Source organism: Homo sapiens, chromosome 14 (genome assembly GCF_000001405.40).
Source record: "Homo sapiens chromosome 14, GRCh38.p14 Primary Assembly".
NCBI lineage: Eukaryota > Metazoa > Chordata > Mammalia > Primates > Hominidae > Homo > Homo sapiens.
In genome coordinates this window covers 75,931,966-75,955,634 of record NC_000014.9, presented here as the reverse complement: position 1 = coordinate 75,955,634, position 23,669 = coordinate 75,931,966, and the positions used below count along the sequence as shown (strand labels likewise).

Below are 23,669 nucleotides of genomic sequence, written 5' to 3'. Positions count from 1 at the left end.
TTTTGGATTTCAACACTGAGTCCATAGTACCCTGCTGAAGAAGCCCCAGAGCCTGGGTTCTCCCCTGATAACTCTCTAGGGCAGCTAAGTTAATCCTTCAGTGGACTCTGCTGTCCAACTCTCAACCTTTTCTCTAGCAGAAGCCAGAGAGAGAGGACATAGGAAAGGGGAGGAAGCAAGAGGGCGGAGGCTTGAGGGGAGAGCACTGGGGCTGTGCTGCATCATTCAGGTGAACTGCGAGGTATGCAACATGCAACTGGATACAGGGCTCAAGCCACTGGAGGCCCACGCTGTGAGTGAGCCTGCCTGTCGAGGGCTGATAACGGAGACATCTGCACATGCCCGCTCCCCAGGTGCAGGAGCTGCCTTTGGGAATAGCCTGGACCCACCATCTGCTGAAATGAAATGTAAAAATAAAACATCTCTTTACAGCTCACATTTCTAAAATGTTTAAAAAATTGCACAGCCACAAAGTAAAATAAAAAACTGGTTCTACTTCAGTCCTGTTTGTGAATATTGATTGTTGGGAAATTAGTAAAGGGAAAAAAAAGAAAATAAAAATAGAATTACTTTATTAATCTTTGAAATCAGTAATTCCAAAGGGTGCCTTTACCCTGGCTCATGTTGTCAATGGCACACCGATTTGTCTCCTCTCTCTAGGAAACTTGTGATGAATGCTCCTCTTTCCCCCTAGATCCTCCGAAAAGGGAGGAACAACTTTGGCGGATGATGATGTTGAAATTTTAAGCTTGTACAAAGAAAATAAAGCTTCATACTGTAATCTGGAAAAGAAGAGGAAGCAAAATGCAAATAGCCAAAGAGCCTCTTTTATATCATCTCTGTGCAGCAGCAGTAAAGGGACAGAGAAGACCTAAGCAGTTTGGGGGCATGGGGCAAAGGGAAGGTAAAAGATACAAGTGTGCTCTGACGGGGTATATAATGCATCAGCTGAATGTCCCCACTGCCAAGTTCCATCAAAACCCAGAAGATCTGCTTTCTTGTTGTCCCAGTGAAAGTCTGCATTGGCTGATTGGCAACCATCTACTGCCACTTCTGCTCGAAGGCTTTGGGGACTTTGAGGCAGCAAAAAAAAAAATACTATGGACCCCTTGAAGTGCTGGTGGATGCTTCACCCTCAATCATGCACCCAGGAGTGGTGAACAGGTTGTTTCTCTGTGTGTTTGTGGTTCATATTTTAGTGTGAGCAGGATCTGAAAAAGAGAAAGGCAACCATGAAATGAATGAAATGACAGCATGGGGTTTTACTTACAGGCAGCAATGTCTGGTTTATCTAACATCACTGAAGAATAAAGAAGTGGTGGCCCAAATAAATGAAGTTCACCTCTAAGTGGAAAGCTCTTTTTTTTTTTTTTTTTTTTTTTGAGATGGAGTCTCACTCTGTCGCCCAGGCTGGAGTGCAGTGGCGCGATCTCGGCTCACTGCAAGCTCCGCCTCCCGGGTTCACACCATTCTCCTGCCTCAGCCTCCCGAGTAGCTGGGACTACAGGTGCCCACCACCCACCATACCCGGCTAATTTTTTTGTATTTTTAGTGGAGATGGGGTTTCACCGTGTTAGCCAGGATGGTCTCCATCTCCTGACCTCGTGATCTGCCCACCTCGGCCTCCCAAAGTGCTGGGATTACAGGTGTGAGCCACTGCGCCTGGCCACAAAGCTCTTAATTTTAACCACTTTTGTTGGAAACCTTCCTAAAATACTCCCAATTCTACTGCTGTTTCTTTTCTGTGTTGTTCTCTTTCCTTTTTTTTCTTGGACAAAAACACTTTATCTTTCCCTTTTCAAATTAAAAAATGCTAAATATGTCCATCTTTTCTAGAAACACAGTGTATTATCAGCATTTTTAAAGTGCATGAAAAAATTCTTCCATGTATGCTTTTGAGTTTTTCTAAATTTTCCCTCAATGTCAGAGTGTCAGATAATACTTTGCCTTCTCCTCAACCCCTCAATCCCAACAATATACACCTATATGCTCACCATCTAGTTTAAGAAAAGGAACTTTACCATTACCCTGCATCCCTGCTAGACCCTCCCAATTCTTTCCCATTCTCACCATCCTGAATTTTGTGTTTATCCTTCCCTTGTTTGCTTTTAAAAAAACAGGTTTATGATCTTTATGCCCCTATATAATATACTGTTGAATTTTATGTGGCTTTGAATTTTGTAGTGCTCCTGTGATTACACATGCAATCTCAGTATACTACTGGTAGAATTTCTTTGGGTATACACTTAGGAGGGGAATTGCTGGGCCATAAACACTTGGATCTTCAACTCTCTAATGCCATCTTATTTTCCAAAGTGATTATACAATTTACACTCCCTCTGGAAATGTATGAGCATCCTCACTTCTCCACACCTCTACATGTGGAGCAGTATTGCCTCAGTTTACAATTTCTGTGAATCACATGAGTATTCAATGGTATTCCACTGTGGCTTAATTAGCACTTTCCTGATTAGAAATGAGGTTGAGCATCTTTTCAAGTATCTATTGTGCATAAGTGTTTCTTCTTATATGAAATGTGTGGATATGCCTTTTGCTTATTTTCCTATTGAATTGTTATTGATTTTTTAAAAAACAGCTTTTTTGAGATGTAATTCACATATTGTACAATTCATTCCTTTAGCATGTACAACTCAATAGCTTTTAGTATATTATATTCAGAGTTGTGCATCCGTCATCATAGTCAATTTTAGAACATTTTGATGACCCCAAAAATAAACCCCATACTTCTTCGCCACCACCCCCTACATCTCTCATCCCTCAGCTATAGGCAACTATTAGTCTAGTTTACCTTCTGTCTCTATAGATTTGCCTATTCTGGACATTTCATATAAATGGAATCATGCAATGATCCTTCGGGACTGGCTTCTTTCACTTAACATAATGTTTTAAAGGGTCATCTATGCTGTAGCATGCATCACTACTCTACTCCTTTTTTATGGCTGAATAATATTCCATTGTGTGTATAGACCACATTTCATTTATCCATTCATCAGTTGTGGACATTTGGGTTGTTTCTACCTCTTGGCTATTAATAATGCTTCTATAAACAATGATGTAAAAATATTTGAACTATGTTTTCATTTCTCTTGGGTATAGATACGGAAGTGGAATTAATTGCTGGGTCATATGGCAACTCTTCACGTAAACTGTTTAAGGAACTGTCAAACTGTTTCCAAAAGCAGTCACGCCATTTTACATCCCTCCCAACAGTGCATGAAGGTTCCAATGTCTCTTTTCCATTACAGCCATTCTGGTGGGCATGAAGTGATACACTGCTGTGTTTTTCCTTTTTCTTTTTTTTGGTGCAGATGGGGTCTCGTTGTGTTGCCCAGGCTGGTCTCAAACTCTTCGGCTCAAGTGATCCTCCAAGCTGGTGGCTGCTGACCACTGTGGTTTTGATTTATTTCCCCAGTGGCTAATGATATTGAGGATCGTTTTATATGCTTCTTGGCATGGTATATCTTCATTGGCAAAACATCTGCTCAGTTCCTTTGCTCATCTTTAAACCTGAGTCGTCTTTTTTATTATTGAATTGTAAGCGCTCTGTATGTATTTTAGATACAAGTCCCTTGTCATATACATGATTTGTAAATATTTTCTCAATTTCATGGATTGTTGTTTTACTTCCTTGATAGTGTCCTTTGAAGCAGGAAATTTTAAATTTTTGAGGATGCCCAGTTTGTCTATTTTCTTCTTTTGTTGCTTATGCTTTTGATGTCATATCTAAGAAACTGCTTATTGAATTTTAGAAGTTCTTTGCTTAAATATCTGGATACTAACTTTTTGGTTTTTATGTATTACAAACATCTTCACCCAGTTTGTGACTTGTCTCTTCATTCTATGGTTTTTTGAGACAGGGTTTCGCTCTGTCGCCGAGGCTGTATTGTGCAGAGGCAGAATCATGGCTCACCACAGCCTCAACCTCAGGGGCTCAGGCAATCCTCCCACCTCAGCCTCCTGAGTAGCTGGGACCACAGGCATGTACCACCATGCCTGGGCTAGTTTTTAAATTTTTTTGTAGAGACAGAGTTTTGCCATGTTGCCCAGGCTGGTCTCGAACTCCTGGGCTCAAGAAATCCTCCCACGCTGGCCTCCCAAAGTGTTGACTTTACAGGTGTTAGCCACTGCGCCCTGCCTGGTATTTTTTTAAAGAGATTGTTTTGTAATTTATTAAGATAAGTGCTATTCAGGATAAAAATTAGATTGTATTTAGACATGTACTTAACAAGTGATCTTTACAGAAAAGGTTATGTATTTATTTATTTTCGAGACTGTCTTGCTCTGTCACCCAAGCTGGAGTGCAGTGGCATGATCATGGCTTACTTGCAGCCCCAACCTCCTGGGCTCAAACGATCCTCCTGCCTCAGCCTCCTAAGTACCTGGGACCACAAGCATGTGCCACCATGCCTAGCTAATTTTTTCTCTATTTTTTTGCAGAGATGGAATCTCCCTATATTGCCCAGCCTGGTCTAAAACTCCTGGGCTCAAGTGAGCCTCCTGCCTCAGCCTGCCAAAGTGCTGGGTTTATGGGCACAAGCCACCACACCTGGCCCAGATAAGGTTTTTAAAAAATATTAGAAAATCCAGGACAGTCACCATAAAAACAGGATGGATTAAAAACAAAAAACACATTTGTTTTTTTTTTGAGACAGGGTCTTAACTCTGTTGCCCAGGCTGGAGTGCAGTGGCATAATCATAGCTTACTGAAGCCCCGACCTCCTGAGCTCAAGTGATCCTCTCACCTCAGTCTCCTGAGTAGCTGGGACCACAGGCGTGTGCCACCAGGTTTGGATAATTTTTAAAATTTTTATAGAGACAAGGTTTCCCTATGTTGTCCAGGCTGCTCTGGAACTCCTGGACTCAAATGATCCTCCCTCCTTGGCCACCCAAAGTGCTGGGATTACAGGTGTGAGCCAATGCACCCAGCCCTGACAAAGGTTTTTAAAATAAAAAATTTCAAACATACATAAAAAATAAAACAGTATAATACACTTCCATGTTCTCATCATCTAGCTTTGATAATGATCGGCATCGTACCATTTGTTTCATCTCTTCACATTTGTTTCCTGGAGTATTTTCAAAGCAAACTCAGGATAACATTATCTTCAGAATCTATCTCTGATGAATAAGAAACAAAGGGAAAAAAACTCCCACAATATCTTCATGGCATCTTAGAAGTTCTTAATTTTAACCAGGTCAAATTTATCAGTTTTTACCTTTATGGTTTGCACTTTCTGGATTGGATTTTACAAGCCCTTTCCTTTTACCGTGACTATAATGATCTGGTCCTCTAATGTATTCTTAAAGATTTACACTTTTGCTTTTCATATTTAAGTCTCTAATCTGACCTGAAGTTGTGTACAGTTCGAAGCACAGATCTAATTCCATTTTTTCCTACACAAAAACTGATTGTCCTAACGTTATTATTGAAATCTATCCCTTCCTCTTCTAACCGCAATGTGTCTTGGTCGTAAGTTATTTCCTATATATAGACCAGTTTTAGGTTTCTCTATTTTGTGTCAATATCACATTCTCTTAAGCATGTTAGCTTGATGGTAATTTTTGTTATCTGGTTAAGACAAGTCACACACAGCCCCCTACTGACATCCCCATTCTTTATAGGAGTATAAGGGTTCTTCTCTCTTTCATATAAATTTCAAAAAATAAAAATAAACAACTAATACCCTCTCAAATATACAAATCAATTTTAGGGAGAACTGGTATCTTTACAAAACTGTAACTTTTTTTTTTTTCTTTTTTTTTGGAGACAGAGTCTCGCTCTATTGTCCAGGCTGGAGTGCAGCGGTGTGATCTCAGCTCACTGCAGCTTCCATCTCCTGGGTTCAAGCGATTCTCGTGCCTCAGTCTCCCGACTAAGCTGGGACTATAGGCATGCACCCCACGCCCAGCTAATTTTTTGCATTTTTAGTAGAGACGGGGGTTTGCCATGTTGCCCAGGCTGGTCTTGAACTCCTAGGAGCTTGGGCAATCCCCCTTGGTCTCCCAAAGTGCTAGGATTACAGGCGTGAACCACCAGGCCAGGCTACAAACTGTAACTTTTAATCCACGAACATGTAGGTCTCTCCATTAATTTCTTAAAGCATCTCTTGGTAAGGTTTTATATATATATATTCTTTATATAAGGTTATATATATATAGGATATAGAATATATATATATAGAATATATATATACTCTATAAAACCATATATATATTCTATATCCTATATATATATAACCTTATATAAAGAATACATATATATATTCTTAAAGCGTCTCTTGGTAAGGTTATATATATGTGTATATATACATATTTTATCACAGGTCTTACGTATCTTTTGTTAGATTTATTCCTAGGCATGTGCTTTAATGCTCTGTAAAGCATATCTTTTCAGTAATCACATGTTCTACCTGTTTGTGCAGAAATATAGAAATGTAATTGATTTTGGAAAATTCTCTGATAAAGCCAATAGTCTATTTGAACGTTCTTTTTGGGTTTACAATCAAATATGTTATCTGAGAATAATGACAGATCTGCCTCCTCCCTTCTGATCCTATATAATTTTCTTATACTCTGGAATAGTTTGTAGATTGAAATATTTGTTCCTTGAATGTTTGGTAGGACTCACCAGTAAAACACAAAAGCCTGGTAATTAACTTGTGGGAAGATTTTTGTTCTTGATTCAGTTTCCATAATAATTAAAGGAATATTTGGATTTTGTATTTCTTCTTGAGTAAATATTTGTAAGTTAAATATTAAAATTGTACTCATCCCACTAAAGTTTTAAAAATATATCAGCATGTCATCATAAAGTTATTCACAGTATCTTCCTACAATCTGTTTAATCTCCGAAGCATGTATAATAATGTCCCTAACTCATTCCTCTCAACTGTATGTTTATTTTCCTCTATATCTTTATTATTGCTATTATTATTTTTGGTTTTTACTTTCTTTTGACTTATTTTGTTTTTCTTTTTTTAACTTCTTAAACCAGATACTTGGCACATTAACTTTCAGCCCCTCCTCTTCCCTCACTGTAAGCATAAATTTTCCTTTAGGTATTACTTTACCTACATTTGTCAAGTTTTTAATATTAAACAACATTTTAAAATTATGATTTTTTTTTTTAAGATAGGGTTTCACTCTTGTCACCCAGGCTGCAGTGCAATGGCGCGGTCTTGGCTCACTGCAACCTCCACCTCTCAGTTTCAAGCCATTCTCCTGCCTCAGCCTCCCGAGTAGCTAGGCTTACAGGTGCCCACTACCACACCCGGCTAATTTTTGTATTTTTAGTAGAGACAGGGTTTCAGCATGTTGGCCAGGCTGGTCTCGAACTCCTGACCTCAGGTGATCCACCCGTCTTGGCCTCCCAAAGCGCAGGGGTTACAGGTGTGAACCACTGTGCCCCGCCAATTATGATTTTTAAATTAGTTAACTCTTTCTTAATTTCCAAAAATATGAGGACTTTTCCAGTATCTTTTTGTTATTGCGTTATGGTCAAGGAATGTAGTGTTTGAAATGTGATTTAAGGCCTACTACGTAGTTTCTGCAACTCCCCCATAGAAGATTGCAAAGAATGTGCATTATGCAGTTATTTAGTGTGATGTTGTATACACGCCTATGAGATCAAGCCTGTTAATGATGTAGTTAAAATTTCGATTTTTTTTTTTTTTTGAGACAGGGTCTTGCTCTGTTGCCCAGGCTGGAGTGCAGTGGCATGAACACAGCTCACTGCAGCCTAAACCTCCTGGGCTCAAGCATGGGGATGCGCCAGCCTCCCATGTGGCTGGAACCACAGGCACACACCACGCCCAGCTAATTTTTCGATTTTTTTGGAGAGACGGTCTCACTTTGTTGCCCAGACTGGTCTCAAACTCCTGGGCTAGAGTGATACTCCTGCCTTAGCCTCCCAAAGTGCTGGGTTTATGGGTGTGAACCACTATGCACAGCCTCTTAAATGTTCTTATTATCAGAAACATTACTTATTATCAGACTGCTCAATCTAGCAATTACTGAGTTACATTAAAACCTTCCAATATAAAGCTAGATTTATCTATTTTTCTTATGGTTCTGTTAATTTTTTGCCCAATGTACTTTTCATAAATATGTATTTATTAAATGAAAAAAACATTAAATATACTAGTTAAAGTAAGTTGACGAGAAAAGGTTGAGCACTTTCTTGGTGAACCTTTAGCCATAATGTAGTGACCCTCTTTATTTCTTGTTATGCTTTTTTGCCTGAAAATCTATTTTGTCTGATAAATATAGCTACATCAGCTTTCGTTTGGTTGGTATTTCCCCAATATATCTTTTTCCAACCTTTTTCTTTGATCCTTTATATATGCCTATGTAAGATTTTCTTGTTTTAATAGCCTAAAAGTCTATTTTTTAAAAATCCAGGCTGACAATATAACTATTTCTGGTTGGCCATTTTCTCTTCCCTCCACTGTTCCCACCTTGTCCCTGCCTGATATAGCAGCCACAGCCATCCTGTGAAATCCTCTGCTCAGAATTCCTTGATGGCTACCACTACACTCAGAAGACAAGCGCCAAGTCCTCTCCTTGGCCCCCAGGGCCTGCATGATCTGGCCCCTTGTCATCTCTCAGCCTCATCTGTTCTCACTCTCCTCTGCTCTCTCGTGCAACATGACAGCTCCACTTGAATTTCCCAATCACAGCAGCCACATCCCTCCCTCCAGGCATGAGCTCCCGCTGTTCCCTCCACCTGGAGTTCCCTTCCATCCATATCTGCCAGCTTATTCCCCCTTCTTCAGTTCTCACCGCAAAGGCCACTTTCTCTACTTTATTTAGAATAGCGAACCTCCCCATTCTCTACCTTCTTTCACTGTGTTGTTGTTTTTTTTTTTCTCTCTAGAACATTTCCCACATTCTCATGTACGGTTTGTGTTACTTATTTGGTCTGTTGTTTGTCTCTCCTATTGGGGATTTTTGGCTGTTTTGCTCACTGCTCCACGGCTTGTGCCTAGTGCCTAGAATAGTGCTGAACACACAGAAGATGCTTGGTCCATATTTGTTGCATTCATGAATCAATCAGTCTTTGACCTTCACTGGAACATTGAGTCAACTCACATTTTGGAAAGGGCCAATACTTTTATTTGTTCGTACTGTTTTAAGCTGTGCTTTCTATTTGTTCTACCTCTTCCATGTTTCCTTTTCCTCCTTGTGGATTTATTCTCTATCTCATTCCACTTTCTCTCTGCTACTTTGGAAGTTTTCTATTTTTTTAAATACTTTATTCATTTAACAATTGTATATGTTAACTATATAAAGGTAAAATTCATCAATAACTTTACCTTTTCACTGTACAGTATGAACTTAAATGACTTTAATTTTGAACATCTGCTCTCCTTGAGTTACATGATATGATGGTTTGGACATTTTCATTTTCTTTTTAACCTCACAAGAACATTATCATCATTTTGTTGCTCATTATGTTGCCCCCAATTCCTCCTGCATTTCAGACCTTTCTTCTGGTATTATAATACCTTCCTCTGTCTGAAATACATTCTTTAGACTCCTTGGCAAAGGTCTACTAGTGACAAACTCTTTTGCGTGTTATGTGTTGGAAAATGTGTTTCATCCTCATTCATGAAAGATATTTTTGCTTAGAATACATTTATGGTTTGGTAATTATTTCCTTTCCTCAATGGCAACATTACACTGTATTTTTGTTTCCATCTTTGCTGCTGAGAAGTTAGCTGTCAATCAGACTGGAATTGCTCTGGTAATCCTTCCACTCCCTCCAGCTGCTTTAACATCTTTTGACCTTAGTGCTCTAAAGTATGATGTGTCTAGGTGTGGATTTCTTGTGATTCACTGCAATATGTGTATCTTTCACTAGTTGTGGAAAATTTTTAGCCATTATCTCTTCAAATGTTGTCCCATTTTTTCTTTCCAGAGCTCCAATTAGATATTTATTAGGCCTTCTCAAATGGCTTTCCACCTCTTTTTCTTTCTGTGCTGCATTCCCAATCATTTATTTTTCAATTTATTATTATTTTTTGGGCAGAAGGGAATGTTTATTAAAAAACTTTAGAAGGCCAAGTGCAGTGGCTTATGTCTGTAATCCCAGCACTTTGGGAGGCTGAGGCGGGCAGATCATGAGGTCAAGAGATCGAGATCATCCTGACCAACATGGTGACACCCCGTCTCTACTAAAAATATAAAAATCAGCCGAGCATGGTGGCACGCACCTGTAGTCCCAGCTACTCAGGAGGCTGAGGCAGGAGAATCACTTGAGCCTAGTGGGTGGAGGTTGCAGCGAGCCAAGATCGTGCCACTGTACTCCAGCCTGGGGACAGAGCAAGACTCCGTCTCAAAAAAAATTTTTTTTTATATATAATATATATTATAAAAAATACATATTATAAAATAATATATGTAATATATATTATATATCTATAAAAGCTTTAGAGCAGGAACAAAAGGAAGGAAAGTACACTTGGAAGAGGGCCAAGCAGGTGGCTTGAGAGATCAAGTATGAGGTTTGACCTTCTGACTTGGGGTTTTATATGCTGGCATACTTCTGGCGTCTTGCATCTCTTCTCCCCTGGTTTTTCCCTTGGAGTGGGCTGTCCACATATGCAGATGCAGTGGTCTGCTAGCACTTGGGAGATGAGCATGCACAGTGTGTTTACTGGAGTTGTACGCATGCTCACTTGAAGCGTTTTTCCCTTACCAGCCAAATGTCCCTAGGAGGTCATATGCCAGTTAAAGGCCGCCATTTTGCCTCTTAGTGCACATGCTCAAGCCCACTCCCCCAACTCCTGAGATCTTATCAGGAAGCTACTAATCACTAGTTTCAGGTTTTTCCTATCTATAAGGAGACTGCCTTTCCCTGGTGCTGGCTGCAACTGATTATTATTTTAGAGAGACAGTTTCAACAACTGCCTGATCATCACCTGATGGTCACCTGACATTCCTGGTTGTGGTGGGAAGGGGTAGGGCAGGAGCCCTCTCTTGCCCTGCTCATGTCTGACTACCTACTGTAACCTTTCCTGACTCAAGAGTCCAAGATCCCAATTCTTTGGGGAAAATGGATGAAGGTCAGTCTTCTGTAACTGCTTTCCACTGACAGGTGGTAGTTGGCTGTTCTGTGGGTTTTGGCCTGTTGCTAGCTGTCAGGGCAGGGAGGCTCCGTGGGTTGGTGAAAGTGGGATCCAGCCAGGCCCAAGGGAGACAGGGGCAAGATTGTGCCTCTGTTTGTTCCACTGATGGGCAGTCTAGGGGTCCTTTGTAGAAGGGTGACTCTTGAATATTGAGAGGATGGTGTCCCTCACTGAGGATCATCTGAAGCTTGATGGCAAGTAGGGAATGTATTCGAGTCACACAGCAAAGTATGTTACCGGCGGAAGGTATCCAAGTCACATGGCACCAAAATATGTTAGCGGCAGTGAATCTGTATCTGTACAGGTCTGCCGCAGCCTCAATTATTGCCTCCTCAGAAGAAAGAATTTGACTGAGGGGCATAAGGCAGAAGAAGAGACCAAGGCAAGTTTTAGAGCAGGAGGGAAAGTTTATCAAAAAGCTTCAGAGCAGGAAGGAAAGCACACTTAGAAGAGGGCTAAGCAGGCGACTCGAAAGACAAGTGCCCAGATCATTTCTTTAAATCCATCTTTGAGTTCATTAAAGCTCTCTTCAATGAACTGGGTCAAATCTGCAGGTAGGCCCATCCATGGATTTTTAAACTTTAATTATTATTATTTTCCAATTCCAAAAGAGTTACTTAGTTCTATTTCAAATCTGCTTGGTCATAATTTTAATCTCTTGGTTTACTCTCTCTTTTAATTTCTCTAAACATATGAGAAAAGTTATTTTGCACTATTTGGCAATTTCAATTATCTTAGTCTAACACTGTTATCTATTATTTTGCTGGCTTTGCTCATGGTGCCATGTTTCTTTATTTGTTTTGTGATTTTAAACTCTGATCTCACAAAACTTTACCTGTGGGAATTATTTGAGGTTTGGGTTGGAGGAGGATTCCTCCAGATAAAACATGCATTTGATTCTGCTAGGTGCCTTAGGACCACCTTAAACTCTCAGTCTGAAGTTTTTCAGGCTACCTCCAGAATGTGAATTCATGCCCAAGCTTACAAGGGGTCCAGCTTGTGGTTATAAATTACCAGGGGAGATTCCCCTTCTCCACTCCATTTAGCACCAAGTTTCCAGATAGCCAGTTATCTTTCAATGCCTGAGGGACTGAAGGGTGGACGAGAGGGAGGGCTTATTTCTAGTTGACTTACATATGGAGACTATAGCTGGCACTCTGGGGTCCCAGTCTAGAAGGGTCTCCTCTAGACTCTTCACCTTAAGATTTGCCTATTGTCCCTTACATCCTGCCATAATTCGGGTACAGAGTCACTTCAATCCTAACTCCTGCCTGGTGATCCAGTGACGGGGTCATAAGAGCAGGAGAGGTATACAGAACAACGATGTTACTGCATTTTTCCCTCACTGCCTCTATGACCACGACTACAGCCCAGCTCTTCCCCGACACCGCCTTTTTTTTGTGGGACTTTGAAATACCAGCCACTGTAGCTAACCCATCTTTATTTTTGCTTTAATGGCTTGGCCTGGAAATTCTGTCTTTTTTTGGCCAAATGTCTACAGATAATACTGTCTTTATACACTCACTTGGCATTTATGAAATAAATGAAGTTATGTCTTATTATGTTAGTCCTAAAGTCAACAAGCAACACAAACATAAAATATATTCAGAACTACCCTAAAAAGTCTTAAAGCACCTGTAAAATACATCATGCCAGTTCGGCAACTATCAGGGAGTCCAACAAACACACTTATACTTCCATCCTTCTGTTCTTTCGTTAGCACCCAACTAACATGACTGGCTTGTGTTTAGGCCATAGAGAATGCAAGTATTTTTAGACATTGTGATCAACATTTGCCAAGGTAAACTGCACTATGAGAATCACCTAGGAATGAAGAACCATTGAAGCCAAGAGCAGATTCACATGTCGTGCTCATTTGGAAGCATAAGTTACCTGAGAGGAATGGTGGAGAGACCCTCCTAAACGATCTAAATCATTGTTTCTTTTATCATTTGGAGGCACATGGGGAGGGACTTTGTCTTGCATATACTGCTTATTTTCACTGCTACACTCTTAAGTGCTGAGATCGCATCTTACAAATTTTCACATGACCCAGGGCACCCAGCATTTTGCCTTATAAATATTTACATGAGAGCTGCTTGGTAAATAGTTGATTGACTGATGATCAATAGCGCTGTTACCCTATGGGTGGCAAAAGACTTCCAACTAACAATACAAACTAGGCTTCTACAAACAACAAAAGGCCTGATGTGGTAAGCGGCAATCTGTACTTCCAGGCCAGTGCTTCTACCACTCATCAGCTGTCTGAAGGTTAAGGGATACACATTTTTTTTTTTTTTTTGAGACAGAGTCTTGCTCTGTAGCCCAGGATGGAGTGCAGTGGCATGATCTCAGCTCACTGCAAGCTCCGCCTCCCTGGTTCAAGCCATTCTCCTGCCTCAGCCTCCCAAGTAGCTGGGACTACAGGCACCAGCCACCACACACCTGGCTAGTTTTTTTGTATTTTTAGTAGAGATGGGTTTCACCATGTTAGCCAGGATGGTCTTGATCTCCTGACCTCGTGATCCGCCTGCCTCGGCTCCCAAAGTGCTGGGATTACAGGTGTGAGCCACCGCATTTTTATGAAATCCTATGACTCATAGCTTTTCCAGTTCAGAAAAAAAAAAAAAAAAAAAAAAAAGTTCATCATGAATTTTCTGCCAATAAAGAAGGCCCTAAGCCAGGCAGGTGTGGTGATACATACCTATAATCCCAGCTTAGGAGGCTGAGGAGGGAGAATCACTTGAGCTCAAGAGTTCAGGATTCAAGACCAGCCTGGGCAACACAGCAAGAACCTGTCTCAGAAAAAAAGAATACAGTAAAAAGAAAAAATTCCTATCTGGAAAATGGGACAAATAAAGAAGGCTCAAACCTCAAATGTTATGAACATATAACCAAAGTTATTTTTCTCCCTCCAAGGTCTGAAGTGAATAAGAAAAATAAAATTAAAAACTTAATTTAAAATATTACCTAAATGCAAAGACGTTTACCTCTTAAAGATTTGTCCCTAAGGCCTTTCCAACTGATCTGGGCAGCCCTGGTAGTATCTTCTGGCAACATTCTGGTTTGATAAGAAAGGAAGTGAATGAATCAATTTATTTATATCCTGAGTGACATTAGTAGAAACGGACAGCTGGGGTGTGTGGGCCAACCTGCTGCCCCTCACCTTCCTGGGCATAGCTCCAGTATGTTGGAATGAATAACACAGGCACAAGAACATCAGATCCATTTCATGAAACCTTGCCTGGGTTGTCACAAAGGCGCCGGGCACAGCTGCAAGGGGTTTGTTCAGAGCAAAGACAGCCCAAGGAACTCTGCAATGCAGCCACATGGGACATGGGAGCCGCTGACTACAGCAGCACCACCAAGCCCTCATGGCCTCCCAGAAATCCTTTTTAATTTCTCATGAGTAATGCAGGCATCTGGTTCAGTTCAGATGCTAAAACCAACAAGAGCTCAAGTGTCCATCTATGGGGGAAGATTTCCTTTCTACTCGCAAATGAGTGTTGAATAATTTTAATACAATGCTATTTTAAGGAATTCTACTATAAAGAATTATAGTCATTAATACAACAAGCCTAATTCTTCTAAGAAAAATGCACATAACTCATTTCTGAAGATATACTTAAGTCTCACAAACCTGTAAAAAACCATGTTCCCCCTATTCTGGATTATTTTATTATAATAAACCCATCAGATGGGCATGATAACATTTTATCACGGAATAGAGAGATATAAATCTCTGAAAGACTTTCAAATGTCATTCAGTGAAAAGTGTTTCTTTTTGTAACTACATTTAGATAGTAAGTATCCTAATGGAAGACTGATTAACATGTTTGACAGAGGTTTTTTGGCATAAGAATACTTAATAACCACCCTGTTATGAAAATTTAAAAATTTTAAGGCTGACTAAAATCAATGTTCTTGGGATCTAATTCTATGATGTATCTACCATGCTAGTTTCGAAGCATAACCTACTTGAGTATATCTGGTGTATTTTTATATAAACATGTAAAACCTAGATTTATAAAATAAATGGCTGAATTATTAAAAGGAGAGTTTCTTTTATGAAGAGTTTCTTCACTTTCTTAAAAAGATTTAATTTCGGCCGGGCGCGGTGGCTCATGCCTGTAATCCCAGCACTTTGGGAGGCCGAGGCGGGTGGATCATGAGGTCAGGAGATTGAGACCATCCTGGCTAACATGGTGAAACCCCGTCTCTACTAAAAATACAAAAAAATTAGCCAGGCTTGGTAGCGGGTGCCTGTAGTCCCAGCTACTCGGGAGGCTGAGACAGCCTATGGTGTGAACCTGGGAGGCGGAGCTTGCAGTGAGCTGAGATCGCGCCACTGCACTCCAGCCTGGGCAAGAGTGAGACTCCATCTCAAAAAAAAAAAAAAAAAAAAAAGATTTAATTTCTTTATAGGGAGCTCTGGTAATGAAGAGTGGTAGAGTAAAACAATGCTACGAGCTATAAATTGATTTATGCTATTCACAAGCCTCAAACCTCTGGGATTTAAGGATAATGATTTTTGTTTTCTGCTCACTGGAGAAAATCTTTGGTGGGGCATTAGAATGGATTTTTATATAGCTTTGAGTTCAAAAGACAGATTGATGGTGGGGGTGGATTTTGCCTCTTCTAGAATAGCTTCTAGTCTGATAAAAATTCAGCCTCATTCCTCCTGTAGCAGATGCAGCATTAATGAGTCAAAGAGGGTGCTGGATACCAGTTCTCTATCTGAAGATTAGGAGAATAGCACTTTCAGTTACCTAAAGAAGGTGAGAAGTAAATGGTCCAGCTGGGCATGGTGGCTCATGCCTATAATCCCAGCACTTTGGGAGGCTGAGGCAGGAGGATCGCTTGAACCCAGGAATTTGAGACCAGCCTGGGCAACATAGAGAAACTCATCTCTACTAAAAATAAAATAAAATAATTAGCTGGACGTGGTGTTGCACACCTGTGGTTCCAGCCACTCAGGGGCTGAGGCAGGAAGATTGCTTGAGCCCAGAAGTATGAGGCTGCAGTGAGCTGTCATCATGCCACTGCACTCCAGCCTGAATGACAGAGTAAAGCTGTCTAAACAAATAAAATGAAATGAAATGAAGGGACTCTAGACCAGTGACTAACAGTGACTTTCAAACTTTTTTTCTGATTGCAATGCATAGTAAAAAGTACATCTCACATTGCCACTGAATGCACAACCATCTTTATGACTTAAATAAAATTCCCATAATACTTACACTTACTTTTACTGTAGATAGACCCTGGTATTCTTCTATTTCATTCTGCTGCACTGGGGTGGGGAGGCAGGGGAATGATGATTGTGACCAGTGGTGTGCTAGAAAATGTTTAACAGGCTCTCTACGGTAAAACAAATGAAAGCCCCAACTTTGTGTTGTTGGCCAATTTCCACCACAATTGAGTTCAAATAACCAACGCAAAGTTACTGAAGGCAGAGTTGGGAAGGGACACCTTCCACCAGCTCTTGTGAGCCTGGTTGCGACCCGTTAAACTGATTGGATGACCCACTGCTAGGTCACGACTCACAGTTTAACAATCACTGCTCTAGAGTATAGGCAATCAAGCTCTTTACTAGTTCACAGGAAGCCGAGAGTGGCCAGTGTATATTGTTTCCAGGAGGTACTGAAAGAGATCTCATGTGCTAGGGATGACAAGCCTCTGGGGCATTATGGGAAGACACTCATGCCTACTCTGCTGTAAGCATCTCTGAACTACTGTGCCTTCAGCCTCCCCAAAACTGATCATCTTGGGAAACTGAGATTTACGAGCAGTAACCTTAGGAAAATTGCAATCTCTCTGTGCTTCAGTTTCTTCCTCTGTAATATGAGAATAAAAACGTGTGTACCTCACTGGATTGCTACAAGGGCCAAATAAGGAAATCCATATGAAAGCATTCTGAAAATTATAAAGGGCACTACAGGTTATTATTCATGTAAAATGATTCAATTTAACAAAATTTTATTCACAGGCAATTTACATAAAGTCATCTGTCTTGGCATCTGAGCTCACTGATCATTCCCATCCTGGGACTCCGAGTTTCTGAAATATCCAGGTGTCTCTCAAGGCTGCCTCCATGGGCTCCCCCACTGGCTCCTTTTCCTCCATCCTTTGAACCTTGCTGCTAATCCTTAAACTCGTTTCCTTGGAGAATGCATCCACTCACAGTTTTAACAAGTATCTCCATACAGATGATTGCTCAATTCTACCTCTGGCTCCGACTTCTCCTTCTCTTTTGAGAAAAACCTAGCTGAGTTTAACATTCAGTCATCATCGAAACTTGACTTTGAAAATTCTAACAGTATTGTCTGTCCCACTCATCCATGATGCTAATTTTATAAATGGCACTAGTATTATCTCAGTTACCAATGTTTAATTTAAAACCACATCACACCCATTAGGATGGCTACTATCAAAACATAAACATTTAAAATAACCATAAAATAACAAGTGTTAGTGAGAATGTGGAGAAACAGAAACCCTTGTGTGCGGCTGGTGGGGGTGTAAAATGGTACAGCTACTACAGAAAGCAGGATGGTGGTTCCTCAAAAAATTAAAAACAGAATTACCATACAATCCAGCAATTCCACTTCTGTGTATGTACCCAAAAGAAATGAAAGCAGGGACACAAACATATATTTGCACACCCATGTTCACAGCAGCATTATTCACAATATTTAAAGGTGGAAGCAACTCAAGTGTCCATTGATTGCTGAATGGATAATGTGGTGTATACATACATTAAATTATGAATCAACCTTAAAAAAGGGAATTCTGCTTGTTACAACGCAGATGAACCTGGAGAACACTATGCTAAGTGAAATAAGCCAGTCACAAAATGACAAATACCGTATGATTCCACTTATATGAGGTACCTAGAGTAGTCAAATTCATAGAGACAGAAAGTAGAATGGTGGTTGCCAGGGGCTGGGGGCAAAAGGGAATGAGGAGTTATTGTTTAATGGGTACAGAGCTAAAGTTCTGCAAGAAGAAAAAAATTCTGGAGGTGAACGGTGGTGATGATTACATAAGAATGTAAATGGACCAGGCATGGTGGCTCATGCCTGTAATCCCAGCACTTTGGGAGGCTGAGTGGGTAGATCACAAGGTCAGGAGTTCAAGACCATCCTCGCCAACATGATGAAACCCCGTCTCTACTAAAAATACAAAAAAAAAAAAAAAATTAGCTGGACGTGGTGGTGCATGCCTGTAAACCCAGCTACTAGGGAGGCTGAGGCAGGAGAATCGCTTGAACCAGGGAGTTGGCAGTTGCAGTGAGCTGAGATCGTGCCACTGCACTCCAGCCTGGTGACAGAGCAAGACTCTGACTTAAAAAAAAAAAAATGTAAATGTACTTAATGCCATACACTTAAAAATGGTTGAAACAGCACATTTTATGTTACATATATTTCACCACAATTTTAAAGATGTTAAATAATTATGGATATTGATCTATCACTTATTCTGCTCCAGTGTTATATAAAGTGCTTATTGCATGAATTGTTTTATAATTTAACTCTGCATTTGTATAAGAAGCTAAGGGTGGAAAGCAGGGAAATTTACTATTTTTGTCTGCCTAGTGACACTTCCCATCTGCTTAGGGTTTCAGCCCCTTTCTCTTCCTTTGGGAAATTGCTCCCCACTTCTTCTATTCCAACCAAGCTATTACTGCCAGGCTACAAATGTTAATTCCACATCCTCTTGATCACAAAAGTTGATGCAAAAATGATCCCAGGCCTGGCCAAAACCTGAATCCCCTTGGCCACAGCAATTACTTCAAGAGGTGGTCTTATTACCCAGGCCAAGCCGATCCCAGTCCTTCTTAGGGAGTTATATATATATTAAAGTAGAAAGAGAGATGCTTCCCTCACTCTGTGGTCACTGCTGGAAAGAATAAGATGGAAGATGCTCAAACCACACCCTTCCATCTGATCTTGCCACATGGAAGAAGCCATATGATGCAAGAAATAGGGAGGTCAATGAAGCTGTGATGAGAAATACAAAGCGAGGAAGAGAGACGGATGGAAAGACGTGAAGCAGAGAGGGAGGGAGAGCAAGAAAGATCTGACTACACTTTAAGACAAGCCAGAGAAAGAGGAGAAAAACTTGAAGGTAGAACTGATCCGATGCACCCCTCAGGACAAGGGCCATTCTAATCTTTGCTGGAGCAAAGTAACAGACATTTCGTAGAAAATTAATCTTGGAACTCTCTATTTTCTAAAGAAAACCCAAAGAAGGAATATAAGTCTCCACTGTAAAAACATGGCAGTTTAAGAAGTATTTCTCATATGATTGTTGTGATGATTAAGTGAAAAAAAAAACTATGTAAAAATTACAGCACCTGGGATACAGCAGGTGCTCAATAAATAACTGCTATTCCTACCATGATTTTTCAAACTCTAATGACAAAAAGGAGAGAGAACCAGAAAACTCAAATTACTATTTAAGAGAATAGAGCATGAATTTAAGGGCTATATGCCATAACTTAAGTGTCATTTCTTCAAGGGTTTTCTCTTTTAAAAACTGTTCCTATTTGTGTGGTTTAAAAGTCATCTAGGCATGATTAAAAAAAAAATACAAAAGATTATGGAGTTAAAAGTATTTCTTCTACCCTAGACTCTTGGGTCTCCATCTCAGAGGCAGGCAGCTGCCTATTACTGGTTTGCATAGGTGTGTGGCTCACCCTTCTCAGGACTGTCTATGCACATACAAACATATATTCCTCCTCCCCTTTTTATATGAAGGGGAGCATAATCTACAGTGGGTTGGGTTTTTTTGGGGCATCTTTTACTTAACAATATCTCTCAGAAATTGTTCCACAACAACATAAACATCTACTTTCAAGAGAACTCTTTAGGTAATCCATAGAAATATCCAAATCCCAACACATCTTTTTAGTGTGGGTCTTGTGGGATCCTCCCACCATCCATCTCACTCTCTAGTTTCACAACTTGTTGTATGGAAAACTGAAATGGGCCCTAGAATCAGCCTATCATCTTGTTGTCATGCAGCCTGGAGATAACAGGAAACAGCTTCTTCCTCTCTTAAAGGCTCACCCAAGAGAGAGTTCCAATGAAGCAGGAGCTAAATTATTGCAGCTGAATACGTGGAGATGTTATTACTATTGACAGCTCCTTAGAGCTCTCTGAAAGGCAAAGGGAGAATCTCCCCTCATATTAGCATCACTCAAGAAACCAACGAGGGCTGTTGGTGAAAAGAAGTTTGACCTTGGTTGGGAATAATGACAGCTTTGCCACATAGACTCTGATTGTTAGACAAACACAAGACAATCAAGCTGACAATGCTACTAATTTTAGAGGCTAAAGCTACTGGGAACTCAGTGTACTTACTGAGGAATCAGATGTCAGCTCACTATCACCACAAAGCAGATGTCCTCTGGATCCTTTGAACTAAAGCTTGGGTTCAACAGTCCCCAATCCTTCTCTTGTAAAGTTCTTCCTATTAGTTCTTAAAGGCTCCAGAATATGACTGCTGCTTTATATTTATCTCCCAAATTAATCCATGCAGCCCCTTAACTGTTTTCTTACTCTTCACCGGATGTTCTTAAAAGCTCTTTGGGTATTATGGTGCACTGCATGCTCACCCGGAACCCAGTCTCATTTACTCCCTTTTTGTCCATTAACAATGAGAGAATGGTTAGAGCATTTTCTCAGCTTTTTATGACCTATTCTCCATCAGCCAAGATTGTCTTCAGTTTTACCTTCTGCAGTTTATGAAAGCTATAATTTTTTTTCACTTTCCATACATAAGATTACATTATAGTTTGACTGTGCTTTTTTACTAATGATAAACTTTATCCCTCCTTCCTTCCCCCCACCTCCTCTTGGTATGCAGCCCTGGATGAGAAGCACCATATTCAACCTAGACTTAAGCATTTATTGATAATACCTTTTCTCTTCAATCTAGTCCATTAAAATGTTCTTCGTCCCCCAGAAAACCTTGTCTTAAATGTCAAAAGTTTTTATCTTACAGATCATAACAATCTTAGGTTCACAGAATGAGAGTATAGCTTATAGATTAAGTTAGTCAGAGTGCTCATGTATTTGGTGAGGTTGAATCTACAGTATCACGTAAAAGTTGCCAATCTGTCCACCTCTAAATGCTTTACTTTAACTTATTTAAAAGCAACCCCAAACTAGTATGGCAGGCAGCCTTTTAATGACCTCTGTGACTCCTCCTCCTGGAAGGCATACCCTTATGTAATTGCCTCCCCTTGGGTGTGCACTGGAATCACTTCTAACAAAGAGAATACTGCAGAAAGTATGGGATGTTACTTCCAAGATTAAGTTATAAAAAGATTGTGGCTCCTGCTGTGGGAGCTTTCTCAGGCTCTCATGGCTTTCTGGCTCAGGGGAGGCCAGCCACTATGGGATAAGCCAGCTGTATTCGCTTGATAGGGCTGCCATAACAAAATGTCACATACTAAGTGGCTGAAATAACAGGAACTCATTTTCTCACAGTTGTGGAGGCTCAAAGCCCAAGATGGAGGTGCTGGCTGGTTTGGTTCCTTCCTTGGCTTGCAGATGGCCACAGTCTTGCTGTGTCCTTGCATGGTCTTTCCTCTATGTGTGCAAATACCTGGTGTCTCCTTGTGTGTCCATATTTCCTCCTCTTGTAAGAAGTCACACTGGAGCAGGGCCCTGCCGCATGGCCTCATTTTAACTTTATCACCTCTTTAAAAGAGCTATCTCTACATACAGTCATATTCTGAGGTATTGGGGGTTAGGGCTTCAACATATGAATTTTGAGGTGGACACAATTCAGTCCATAACAGCAGCCTTTAGAGAAGCTTAAGTGGAAAGAAGCTTGCCAACAACCACAACTTGGAGGCAGATCCCACCAGTTTATCCTTCCAATGAGACCACTGCTCCCAGCTGACAGCCTGACTGTAACTTCATGAGAGACCTTGAGCCAGAGACACTCAGTTAACCTAAGAAGTCTGATCCATGGGAACTGTGAGATAATAACTGTGTGTTTATTTTTTGAGATAGAGTCTCAATCTGTCGGCCAGGATGGACTGCAGTAGCATGATCCGGCTGACTGCGGCCTTGACCTCCAGGGTTCAAGCAATCCTCCTGCCTCAGCCTCTCCAGTAGCTGGGACTACAGGCACATGCAACCACACCCGGCCTGGCTAATTTTTTAATTTTTTTTTGTAGAGATGAGGTCTCACTCTTGTCCAGGCTGGTCTGGAACTCCTGGGCTCAAATAATCTTCCCGTCTTGGCCTCCCAAGTGCTGGGATTATAAGCGTGAGCCACTGTGCCGAGCCAAATATTTATTGTTTTAAGCCGTTAAGTTTTCAGGTAAAATTTGTTATGTGGCAGTAGACAATAATACAATAACAACTTCACCTATCAATAAAAAACTGTATTAACTAGAATGCTTGGGCAAAGAAGATTGGGGCTACTTAAACTTTTCTCTGAATTGGGGCTAAAGTCAAATATTTCTTTGCTTCAAACTTTGCTACAAATGAATCAGTGTACTTTTCTGTCAAAGTAACGGAGTCTTCGCTGACTGAAGACTGAGATCGTTCTAGGTGTCACTTGATAGTAATAAACAAAAAACAACACCAACAACGCTCTCACAGGCAGTATCTCATCCAGCTTTCACATCAACCTCATGAAGAAGACATGGCAACTATTTTGAGTGCATAGCAAAGCACCTGACACACACACACACAGGCATTAAAAATATTTCTAAATGAACGTATTTCCATTTCACAGTGACAAAACAGTCTGGAGAGGTTAACTAAATCGCTTCAGAGTGCACAGCTACTAAGTGCCAGGAATGAGAATAGAAGCTACTAAGTCTGGAGTTTTTCTACCACAGCAGTTCACCTTGTGTATTTGTTTGCATCTTTCTTCCTTGAAGTCATGGGTTAAAACAGTAAAAAAAAATAAAATGGCCTGTTAACATTCTATTTTACTTTTTATTTCCCCATACAGGCTGTGTTGGGATGAATGAGAAGTAGAGGCAAACAGCAAAAAACTCCATCGTGAAAATGGTGAATTCATAAGTATGGACATATACACCCTAGTTTGCTACTGAGTCAATTCTAAATGATTTGTATAAAATCTCCTTATCTTTTTAACATCAGTATATAGTGAAGTTAATATCTTTAGCTTATTAAAGATAGGTACTCCACTCTAGGCCTGTTTTTTGGTTCCTCCCAACCCCAAAGTTCTGGATGAATGAAGTAGAATAGCCTCCGAATATCAGAAAAAAAGTTGATTACAAAGATGCATGGAGTTTCTGTTTCCTCTCAGAAGTCCAAAGGACACAAGAAGTACAGAAGTAGTTGTTAAAATACCCATAATTTACAAGATATGAATATTGCATAGCTGATCTTACCACTGTACAGCCACTTATTCAGTGAATGCTAAACCTTACAATAGCAATAGAAATTTACCTTTTATCCCATATTTATGTATTGAATACCTACTATATGCCCAGTACTATGAAAAGCACTGGTGATACAG

At 40.4% G+C, this 23,669-nt stretch overlaps 1 protein-coding gene across 1 annotated transcript in view, besides 1 other annotated feature; it reads right to left on the bottom strand.

Annotated features, from left to right (window-relative positions):
• Nucleotides 556-23,669, bottom strand: part of TTLL5 (tubulin tyrosine ligase like 5) — a 293,834-nt gene continuing 270,720 nt past the window's right edge. The window contains exon 32 of the mRNA NM_015072.5: nt 556-1,211. Coding sequence (NP_055887.3) covers nt 1,189-1,211 — 23 coding nt within the window. The 3' untranslated portion in view covers nt 556-1,188. The remainder of the gene's footprint in view (nt 1,212-23,669) is intronic.
• Nucleotides 22,191-22,372: a silencer, noted in NCBI's record as "fragment chr14:76399606-76399787 (GRCh37/hg19 assembly coordinates)". NCBI's record gives its function as "represses an EF-1alpha promoter that drives an FKBP-Casp9 reporter gene in an ReSE screen in HepG2 liver carcinoma cells and K562 erythroleukemia cells {active_cell/tissue: HepG2 | K562}" and the evidence as "EXISTENCE:reporter gene assay evidence [ECO:0000049][PMID:32094911]".